Source organism: Homo sapiens, chromosome 9 (genome assembly GCF_000001405.40).
Source record: "Homo sapiens chromosome 9, GRCh38.p14 Primary Assembly".
Classification (NCBI taxonomy): Eukaryota; Metazoa; Chordata; class Mammalia; order Primates; family Hominidae; genus Homo; species Homo sapiens.
Window position 1 is genome coordinate 20,723,975 of NC_000009.12, and position 12,058 is coordinate 20,736,032.

At 38.3% G+C, this 12,058-nt stretch overlaps 1 protein-coding gene across 18 annotated transcripts in view; it reads left to right on the forward strand.

Annotated features, from left to right (window-relative positions):
* FOCAD (focadhesin) overlaps window positions 1-12,058 on the forward strand; it is a 340,326-nt gene that overhangs the window by 68,350 nt on the left and 259,918 nt on the right. The window contains exon 1 of one of the 18 annotated variants that reach the window (XM_024447586.2): window positions 2,373-2,458. The exons of the other annotated variants lie outside the window; for them this stretch is intronic. The gene's annotated coding sequence lies outside the window, so the exon portion shown is untranslated. Of the gene's footprint in view, window positions 1-2,372; window positions 2,459-12,058 lie in introns of those variants that run through there. 18 annotated transcript variants of the gene reach the window in all.

Here is a 12,058-nt window from a genome sequence, read left to right on the forward strand (position 1 = left end):
CAAGAGAGAGAGGGGGAGGTCCAAGATTCTTTTAAATAACCAGATCTCATGTGAACTAACTGAGCAAGAACTCACTTGTCACCAAGGGGATGGTAGTAAATCATTCATAAGGGATCTGCCTCCCGTAATTCATTCACCCCCTACCAGGCCTCATCTCCAACATTTAGAATCATATGTCAACATAAGATTTGGAGGGGACAAACATCCAAACCATTTCAGAACTCATTCTATAAAATATATAAACAGCTTTCTATTTTTTTTCTAGCTGCATAATATTCCATTGTGTGGATGAGCCATAATTTATCAATTTCCTATTATTTCTAATCTTTTACAATAGATAGTGTTTCAGTCCTTAATCTTATACATATAGGTGGCCATAAATTTTTAAGGTTCTTTGGCTATTTGGCCAACATGTGGAAGAAAGCCTTGAATTTTATAATAAGCAAATATAGGAGTTTTAACAGTGGAAGGATGCTGGACATTTTAAACAAGATTTCTTATCTGAGAATGTTCATATTGTCTAAATTGTCATCCACAGGGAGATATAGACAGAATAGATGCTGAAGCTAACCAATTTAATTTTTGAATCAATTTGATCATAAAATATATAAGTGCTAAGTTTTCCTTATTGTTGCCAGTGGATATAATAATTATTTTTATGTCAGAAAACGTAATTTTCTTCATTTGCTTTATTTCAAGTAGCAGAACTTTGCGGTGTGTAGTGAATACGAAGACTATACTTTGTACCGTTTATGTTTACAAAAAAAAAACCCCAACAAAATGAGAATCCATTTTAAGAAACAAGCTAATTAAAAACAAGACACTCAAATAGCCTCCTCCTCCAAAATGAACCTCAGGGAATCTTCTGAGACAGAAAACCATCTGTGTCTTTGGGACTTAAAGGCAAGAATGGGCCAGGCGTGGTGGCTCATGCCCGTAATCCCAGCACTTTGGGAGGCTGAGGCAGGTACATCGCTTGAGGTCAGGAGTTGGAGACCAGCTTGGCCAACAAAGTGTAACCCTGTCTCTAACTAAAAATACAAAAAAAATTAGCTGGGCTTGGTGACACATGCCTATAGTCCCAGCTACGCAGGAGGCTGAGGCAGGAGAATTGCTTGAACCTGGAAGCAGAGGTAGCATTGAGCCAAGATCGCACTACTGCACTCCAGCCTGGACAACAGAGTGAGACTCCGTCTCAATCAATCAATCACTCAATCAATCAGTAAAATGCAGGGAATGACTTTGGGTGAGACAGTTTGGGTCTTCAGTTTCCATTATTTAAATTTCTACTTGTCTCTGCCTTCTCTTTAATTAGAGGTTTATTGGAATCTAAAGGCACTTTGGGAACTGAGACACACCATGATTGCTTATCTTTGCTTTAGAAAAATGATTCTAAAATTTTATCTTTCCATCTTGCCTATTTATCTTCTAGCCTACTATCCTTCAGGAACTGAGAAAGAGAGAGGGGGGTGGATAGAAAAAGCCAATAGTGAGAAACAGCCTTCTATAGAATAGATGTTTAGAGAATGTAGCTTATTGAATTTTTTCAGCATTTAGAGCAGATTTTGAAAGCGTGAAAGAAAGATGGAAGGAAAAGTAGATGTGCCCATCTCTTCCAGCCTTATAACTTGCTCCTTCATCCTTTGTAAGTCTAGTCTATAAAATTCCTTTGGAACACGTATGGAAGCCCGCCTCCCACCTGAATCCAAGCCCACAATTTGAGAAACAGTGGCTTAGAGCGGGTTACATTGTATAGTCTAACTTTGAAAAAGACTTGACATTTGCAATGATCTGGTTGTCTAAACTTCAGGGAGTGGCTGGGAAAGGGTCTGGCTGTGCTTGAGAGACTGTTCTCTTCAAAGGAATAGTTTCATGTCCTAGAGTGTTCTCTGTTCAAAGCTGAGGCAACATGAAACAATTGTAAACTCGTTTTTATAGCTTCTGTAAACAAAGAAATGGATTTAAGAGCTCTAAAATGTTCTTTTCATCAGTAAGGAAATTTGAAAAAAAATTATTCCCTAGGGAGGGTGAAGGAAAGAAGGGGACCACAAAAGAAACACAGTAAGGAAATCATTATCACCAGTCGAATGTGAATTTTGAAATGAAATGAAACTGAAAATAAAGTGAAAGATATATAGCAGCATATAGTTTTGTACACCTTTCAGGAATTGTTTTGAGTTTAGATTGTTTTTGGTTTTGTTTGTTTTTGTCTTTACATTGACTGTATCCTGGAATAGAGTCCCAAACCATTTTTCTTTCCTTAGAATTTTTTTCCCCTTAACTGTGCTGGCTTCTAGAAGGCTCATGCAACCATTGTTACAGTTGCTTAGTAACAGGATTGTGAATAAAAAATCTTGCTCTCCTGCGGAACCAGGTATTCAGTTTTGATACTGAGGTGTCATGACAGCCTGTAATTTCAGCTCAACTGCTTCCCCCATTTCTTGTCTTAATGTGCTTGGTAAGAAGGTTATACTCTGGATAAACCAGGCTAGCACTTGATTTGTATGCCTTTTGTGCTCTCAGACAGGGAAGGGACCTGCATTCGAGGTATTTGGGAATATAAAGTGTATTAAAGTGTATTTTCTGAGACTTCTAAAGTCTACCTTTTAATGAAATTTAGCATAGGATATTAAAAATTCTTGTAGTGGGTCCTAAGTAAAGCTGTTGGATTCAGTGAGTCTTTGATCATGGGCTGATGAAGGTTCAGTGGTTAAAAATGATTCTGAGAATCATTTGGAGTTAAGATTTAGGATGATTTATGGAGAAAATTCTTGTCTCTCAGGGTCTTCTCTTTTATTGATGACCCTGTTCCTTGGGAAACTTAATTGCTTTGTTATGTAGGAAATGGCTAGCAACTGTATTCATATCTTGTTACATTATTGAAGCTTTTCTGTATTATTTAGCTTCTTTCTCTTTATTTTATTTGGCAGGAGAAGAAGAACCAAGGAAGGATGCCTTTATGAGGTTTCCTCCAAGGTTTAGGGAAGACAGCACATTTTAATCTGCAGCTGGGGTGTCAGAGCATTACTATCTGAATTTGATGTGGTTTCAAGGTTTATATTTATATTGATATTATGGCTTATTTAACTTTTAGTAGAGAGTGACAGAGTTGCTAGTCCATGTCTGTTTCCCATCTTGTCTTTTAAATATTCCTTTTAAGCTTATTAGCTTGTTTCTAGATGTTCTCCTTCCTTTTGTTCCCCAATCCTTTTTTTTCCCCCTTGAAAATCCCAGAATTTCTCTCAACTTTCAGTTCCTAATCAGAAAAGTGGTTCCAGCCACTTTTCTGATCTAGCACATTCTGCCCTATTTCTTTTTAAGTTAGTTGATCTGGTTGAAGGCTTTGTCACAAAATCTTCCATTGTAGAGTCATGTATTTATGCTAAGATGTTTCTAGGTGATTTAAGAACAGTGGCTACTGAACACATGTTACTTTTATAATGGAAAAATGCTTCAGAAGAAATCAGGCCATTTTTGGTACATGGAAGACAAATGAGTGCACAGAACTTTGTTAGGCAAAAGCTCAGTAACATTACATCTCTTAGATTTTATTTTAAAGAAGCATTTTTTTGGTCATTCATTTAAGCATGGATTTCTCAGAACTGTTTATTTTGTCCGTGTCTTCTTGTCTCTGTTTATCTCTTTCATATAGTTTTATAGTTTTCTCATATAGTTTTATAATGAATTTAGACAATGATTTGATTATTTTTCTAGTGTTTATCATTCTCTTGTTTGCTGATGACTTACTATGCTTAAGACTGATGAATTATCTTGTTCAGGGGTCTGAAATCCTTTCCAGTTAAAAAGGGACTTGGCCACATTTGTTCCCATGACACCTAGGGATGCATCCCTCTTGGGATGTTATGTCATTCTCTTCAACCCAAACCCAAACCCTTTTAATTCTACCCCTGGTCAAATATGGGTACAGTCTTGTACCTCATGTTTGGTATATTTTGAAAGCAAAGAATCAAGCATTATTTGTAGTCTTTGAAAAAGAGACCCAGCATACGTGAGCAGTGTTTAGTGTTGTAATGAAATAATTCCCAAAGGGAATCTGATACATGTTATTCATATACACAGTAGTAATTATGCCATATTAACCTAGCAAAAACAGTCTGCCTGAGTGTTTTCTAGTTAGTGTAGTTGGTAGAGCTTGACTAAAAATTAAAAAAAAATTTTTTTTGAATCTTCAACGTCATAATTGACCCATACTCCCTCTCATTATAGGCTAACTATCCCCTGTCTGAAATGCTTGGGACCAGAAGTGTTTCAGATTTTATGTTTTTTGGATTTTGGGATATTTGCATATATATAAAGAGATATCTTGGATAGACCCAAGTCTAAACACAAAATTCATTTATATTTCATGTACACCTTATACAGATAGCCTGAAGGTAATTTTGTACAATATTTTAAATAACTTTGTGCATGAAACAAAGTTTTAACTGTATTTTGTCTGTAGCCTGTCACATGGCTTCAGGTGTGGAATTTTCAACTTGTGGTGTCACATCAGTGCTCACAAAATTTAGGATTTTGGAGCATTTAGGATTTTGGATTTGTTGATTAGGGATACTTAGTCTGTATGAGAGGTGGGTCTTGGCTCTTATGCCTAGTGAAAATTGTGGCACCTTTTTGCATTGTCTCTTGCTACTGTGCTTGTGGCTTAGTTTTGAAGTTTCCTTTGCTCTCTTTAAGGGTTCTTGAGTAAATTCATCTTTTCCTGGCACCTGCCCAAGAAAGGACTTATTCCAGCTGATCTTTATTGTAGACTTTTGGCAGCAGTTTCCTGTGTGGATTAGGTCTCTTTGGGCTACCAGTTACAGAAATCCACTTGAACTAGTATGAGCAAAAATGGATTAATTTTTTTGATAAAGGAGTATGTATCTCATAGGACCCAAGAATAAATATGCACCTAGGCCTCAGAAACAAATGGGATATAAACTGTGTGTTTTGTTCTTCTTTCTTCCTGCAGACTTTCTCTGCCTCCTAGTTCACAGGGCACCACCTGCCCCTGGCTTAACATCTCTTGTATATGAGGCAGCCAGACTGAGATTGGAATTTCCTGGCCACAATTACAGATTTCCAATGGTGGGACCTGGAGCTGGATCAGTCAGCTCTGCCAAGTGTTAGTTTTCTAGGGCTACTCTAACACAAGATGATAAACTTGGTGGCTTAAGACAACAGAAATTTATTATTTCATGATTTCATGATGCCTTGCAGCCAAAAACCAAGGTGTCAGCAGGACTGATTCCTTCTGGAGGCTCTGTGGGGGAATCTGTTCTATGCCTTTCTACTAGCTTCTGGTGGTTGATGGAAACCTTTGACATTCCTTGCCTTGTGGCCTTGTAACTTCAGTCTCTGCCTCTGTATGCTCATGGCTGACTTACCTGTATATCTCTTTGTCTCCAATACAGTATCCCTGTACTTTCTCTATAAGGATACCGGTTATTGGATTTACGACCCACCTAGGATGATCTCATCCCAAGATACTTAATTTAATTATATCTACAAAGACCCTATTTCCATATAAGGTCACATTCATAGGTACTGGGGGTTGGGATTTAGATGTATCTTTTGGGGGGACACAATTTAACTTTCTGCTCACTGTGTCTTGATTGTGTGAGCATATGTGTGCTAGGATCACTTATACAGTAACCATATGAATGCAGAGGGTGTGGTAATTTCCAAAACAGAGAGGAGACTGGAATGCTATTCCTGAGGAGTCCTCTGCACTGGAACTGAATTTGGAGGAGAGCCACATGGAAATAGGTATTTCTCAGCCTTTCAGCTCTAGCTTTGAAACATAATTGTGCTTAAATACAAGTGACTAATACTAGATCTATGTTGCTCAGACAGGGATAGAAGGAGGAGAGATTGAGTGAATGGAGAATCAGTGTCAAATATAATTGTTTAATTGTGGTGGTGGGATACTGCCTTGACTTCCCCCACCTCCCAGAATATTTTCTTTAAATTATAAATTATCTCTCTAAACAGCAATAATAATAGAAACAACCACTGCTTTGTTTTCTAGGGGAAGAGGGTTAAGGAAGAAAACTAGCCTTTCTTGAATATAAACTGTGTGCCCTGCCTTGTGCTTTAGAGCTTTACCTAAAATTCCCCACTTAAGTCTCAAAACAACCCTGGGAGTTTGGGGGAGACTTTTTCTTAGGTGGGATTGTGTTCTTTTCTCAGGAGGACATAGTATCTGATTGTTTTCATTTTTGATGATGTTAGCAGCTGTTGATGCTCAGTGACTAGATCCATTAATTCATTAGGGATTTCAAATGGTGACATTCTAATTCTATGTTTTTTTTCTTCACTTATTACCTGAAATACTTCTATAAAGAGAATCTTCCCCATATCTACACCCAGAGGTATAATTTATATAGGAAAGGCAGGATATATATGTAATTCTTTTATTTACTAAATTCCAAAATAATGATTTTTTAAAGCATCCTTTCAGTGGTGACCAGTTACATTTTCTTATAAAATAATTATAATGAGCTTATGGATTTAAACATACTTGATGTATTTCAGTCCTCTTCTCCTCTATTTTTAAGGCTGTTTTTGGATCCACTCTTTAGAAGCAGCTTGAGAGAGGAGGGTGGAATTTACAAAGTTTCAAAAATCTTATTGCTATTCAGTGATTTTCATATATAACAAGTGAGTTAAGATGGAGGGGAGTGAAAGAAACAGCATCTTCCAAATAGGACTTCTTGCCCCGGTCTTAATATTAAGTCATAGGAACCATCTAATATTCCTAAGACTCTCTTAGGAATTAATTTACAGGGTGGTAGATTTAGCTATGTCATGGGCAATCCTCATAGCAGTTAAATCTCTGCATACATCTGAATATTTCTCTCTTACTTTTCTTATTCCATCAGGAATCTTAAGTTGGTTTTAATGTTGTAGGAATGTAGATTAAGATAAGTTAAATGAAAAAAAAACCCATAACAACAAAAAAACTACTTTGATTTCTGGCTGAGCGCAGTGGCTCACGCCTGTAATCCCAGCACTTTGGGAGGCTGAGGCGGGCAGATCACCTGAGGTCAGGAGTTTAAGACCAGCCTGGCCAACATGGCAAAACCCCATCTCTACTAAAAATACAAAAAAAATTAGCTGGGCCTGTGGTGCGTGCCTGTAATCCCTCCTACTCGGGAGGCTGAGGCAGGAGAATCTCTCGAACCCAGGAGGTGGAGGTTGCAGTGAGCCAAGATCGTGCCACTGCACTCCAGCCTGGGTGACACAGCGAGACTTTGTCTCCAAAACAACAACAACAACAACAACAACAACAACAACAACAACAACAAAGTACTTCATTTCCCAATAGAATTCATTGCTTGATAATATAAGGATATTACATGAATTTCATCTTCCCAGTATTTACAGTTATCCTATTTGCTAAATGTGTGATCCCTTAAATGAAAGGCCTTTTAGAAACACAACCAGTAATAGCATTCATATTATTTTGTAAAAAACTAAATAATGAATTTTGATATTAGAGATCAGATACATGAATTTCAGTGTGCATCTATAAAGTTATGTAAATATAGAACTAGAAATACCTTCAGAGGTTACCTTGGGAGCCAAGCAAGATAGTACCTGAGCTGTATCCATCCATCCATCTATTAATTAAACATATATTTATATGTATTTTTTTGACACAGAGTTTCGTTCTTGTTGCCCAGGCTGGAGTGCATTGGTGTGATCTTGGCTCACCACAACCTCTCCCTCCCGGGTTCAAGCGATTCTCCTGCCTCAGCCTCCCAAGTTGCCGGGACTACAGACATGTGCCACCACCCCCAGCTAATTTTGTATTTTTAGTAGAGACGGGGTTTCTCCATGTTGGTCAGGCTGGTCTCGAACTCCCAACCTCAGGTGATCTTCCCGCCTCAGCCTCCCAAAGTCCTGGGATTACAGGTGTGAGCCACTATACCTGGCCAATTAAACATATTTATTGAGTATATTTATTTATTATTTTATTTTTTTAAAGTTCTGGGATACATGTGCAAGATGTGCAGGTGTGTTACATAGGTAAACATGTGCCGTGGTGGTTTGCTGCAGCTATCAACCCATCACCTAGGTATTAAGCCCAGCATGCATTAACTCTTTTCCCTAATGCTCTCCTGAGTATATTTATTATCTCTTGTATTTCTGTGCTAGGTGCTGTGATACCGTGGTGAGGAATGCAGACGTAGTTATTGCACTCATGATGCTTTTGGTTTCAATGGAGAGATTGCCATAATTGCCTAGTTATAGAAACTCATTCAAAGTATACTGTGTTGGGAATGCCTTTAAGATGACGATTTGACTTAGTCATGGTGGTAAAAGCAGGCTTTCCTGAGGAAGTGACACCTAAGATGAGACGAAGGAGTAAATAAAAGTTGTCTAGGCAAACAGGAGTTGGTAAAACTTTCCAGTTACAGGAAATAGTATGTGCCAAGTTCCTGCTGTGGGAAGGAGATTGGCTGTTAAGATGGCCTGAAAGAATGCTAAGAGTGAGGGGAGAGTGGTATGAAATGAAGCTGGAAAGGTAGGTGGGATTCAGACAGTGCAGCGCATGATTGACAATCTTGATGATTTGGGTCTTTATCCTGGGTGGAGAAGGAATGTACTGAAGTGTTTTATCTAGCGGGTGTTAGTGATTCCACAAAAGGCCATTTGGAATGCAGTATGAAGATTAAAATGGAAAGTATTGGGTTTGGGGTAGGCACCTAGATGGGATACACAGAGATTAGGTGGCTGTTGCTGTAGTCGAGTGAGAGGTGATGGTTGCTTGCACTAGAGATGGGGGAAGTAGAGGGATTTGTGAGATATTTAAGGGATGAAGCATTCGTGGTGTACTGAATATGTAGATGACTGAAAGGGATATGTCAAAGGTGACTCCTTGATTTCTGGCTTTCTCTACATTTAGATAGGGAACATTAGAAGACCAGGTGTGTCGGGGGAGAGCATGGGTTCAATTTTGGATGTGTTGAATATGAGGCACAATTCAGATGCTGAAGTGGAAATGTCTAGTAGGCAGCTGGATATGCCTTTTTTTGTTGATATCCCCTGAACACATTATACTATGAATAAGTTAGGCATAATATCTAATCAGCTCTTTTTTGCCCTGATTAAAGTCTTTACCTTGATTTGTTAATTAACTCTTCCGGGTACCTGTGTACCTCAAACTCATAGAGTCTGCTTATCTAAAGTCTAATTCCAGTCCCTAAAAATGTTCCTCAGAAATCTGCTTTTTCAAATTAAATGACATGTTTTTGTGTCTGTGCTAAACTGTGACTGAATACAGGTCCTAAGCAGAAGACACCGTGGTTATTTCATTGTTTATTTCAATTTCTCCTCATACTGTCTATCCAGGAGATCACGTTTAATTTTTCTTTTTTTTATTATTATTATACTTTAAGTTTTAGGGTACATGTGCACAATGTGCAGGTTAGTTACATATGTACACATGTGCCATGCTGGTGTGCTGCACCCATTAACTCCTCTTTTAGCATTAGGTATATCTCCTAATGCTATCCCTCCCCACTCCCTCCATCCCACAACAGTCCCCAGATTGTGATGTTCCCCTTCCTGTGTCCATGTGATCTCATTGTTCAATTCCCATCTATGAGTGAGAACATGCGGTGTTTGGTTTTTTGTCCTTGCGATAGTTTACTGAGAATGATGATTTCCAGTTTCATCCATGTCCCTAAAAAGGACATGAATTTTTCATTTGTGTTCAGGAAGTCCTTCCTCACTGGGCCAGGCACAGTGGCTCATGCCTGTAATCCTAGCATTTTGAGAGGTCAAGGCAGAAGGATTGCTTGAAGCCAGGAGTTTGAGACCAGCCTAGGCAACATAGTGAGACTCTGTCTTTAAAAAAAATAAAAAATTAGCCAGGTATGGTGATGCACACCTATAGCTCCAGATACTTGGGAGGCTTAGGTTCGAGCATCACTTGAGCTCAAGAGGTCGAGGCTGCAGTGAGCTATAGTGAGCTATGATTGCACCACTGTGCTCCAGCCTGGGTGACAGAGCAAGACCCTATCTCAAAAAACAAACAAACAAACAAAAAAAGTCTTTTTCGCACTTTGAGATTATAAATATTTTTTAACTAATACAAAATAAAAGTTGTGCAAACAGTGGAAATTGTAGGTAATGGAAGTCAGTGGTGAAACTACTTTTTGTCATCTTTTTTTTCTTTTCTTAAAATTCACTTTTGTTATTGAGCCCTGGTGAAAAGTAGGAAATGGCAGGACTGGAAGGACTCAGGGCTAATAGGGAGTCTTAAAGGTTCCTTCAAATCTTGGTCTTGGTTTCTGCTAGGATATAGAGAAAACCAGGGTAATCTGAAGTCAGATCCAGGTACATGGAATTAGGAACCAACTAACCCCAGTGACATTGAAATCCCATTCCTAGACCTATAAAAAACATTTATATGCACATATGCCAAGTGTTTTAGAATTGAATATTCCGTTCAAATGTATTTTGTTTTTAAACTTGCATTTTTCCACATAGTATGTGATGGTAATTTTTCCATGTCACATGCATAAATCTGTTTGCAACCTTATTAACAGCTGTAGAGTATTCTGTTTAAGAGGAGTCACATTTTAGTCATTTTCCTAATGACAGACATGTGTTTTTTTCTCTTCCTCTTTAAAAGATAACACATACAGTATAATATTGTCTTTTTTTTTTCTTTTTTGAGGTGATCTCACTTTGTCACCCAGGCTGGAGTGCAGTGGCGTGATCATGGCTCACTGCAGCCCCAACCTCCTGGGCTCAAGTGATCCTCCCACCTCGGTCCCCCAAGTAGCTGGGACTACAGGCTCATGCCACCACACTTGGCCAGTTTTTGTATTTTTTGTAGAGATGGGGTTTTGCCCAGTATGGTCTCAAATTCCTGGGCCCAAGCGATTCGCCCACCTTGGGCCTCCCAAAGTGCTGGGATTATAGGAATATCTTCTTTTGAGTATAGATAAGGGTATGTCTATAGGATGGGGTCATAGAAGCAGAATTTATGGGAAAAGGGGTATAAAATTTTCATAGATACTGTCAATTTGCTCTGCACAAAGGCTGAACCAACATATCAACATGAAAGTGCTTACTTCCCCCACCTACTCTTTAACACTGAGTATTATGAATCTTATTCTTCTGTGATTTGTGTATCTCTATTCTCTGCTCAGTTTGCTATTTTATGATCTGCTTTATTTTGTTGCTTTTCTTGTTTTGTGGGCATGTATGCTGTAAACATTTTATCTTAGACTCTCTCTTAACTTTGTTTTCACTCTGCTAAAAACTTTCCCTACCAACTTTGCTGAAACTATCTGGAATTTTAGTTACAGATTTTTCTTTTTGTTATTTTTTACATTTTTTCTCCATAAATTCTTTCAAAGCAATTGCTTTAATCTTTATAGTCACATTTGAAAAATAATTGTATGTTCTGATATTCATGCATACCAAAGTTACTTGTAGTCTACATGCTTTTTATTTCTTCAGTCAATCCTTCCTTCCTTCCTTCCTTCCGCCTCCCCTCCCCTCCCTTCCCCTCCTCTTTTCCTTCTCTTTTCCTTCCCTGAGACATGTCTTTCTGTCATCCAGGTTTGAGTGCTGTGGTGAGATCATAGCTCACTGTAATCTCAAACTCCTGGGCTCAAGTGATCCTCCTGCCTCAGCCTCCTGAGTAGCTAGGACTACAAGTGTGTGCCATCATGCTTGGCTTATTTTTTAAGGTTTTTTTTTTTTTTGAAACGGGATCTCTCTATATTGCTCAGGCTGGTCTCAAACTCCTGACCTCAAGTGATCTTCTGGCTTCCAGCCACCAGAGTAGCTGGGGTTACAGGCACGAGCCACTATGCCTGGCCTCTTCAATTGTTTTATCTTTAAAAAAAAAAATAACAGCTTATTGGGATATAATTCAAATATTATAAAATCACTCTTTCAAAGTATGTAATTCAGTGTTTTCAGTATAGTTACAAGGCTGTGCAATCATGCATTCTAATTTAACTGGAGAACCTCTTTAAGAAAAATTTTCAGAGTTTTATGTGTGAAAATATTTCTTTTCTGGTATTTT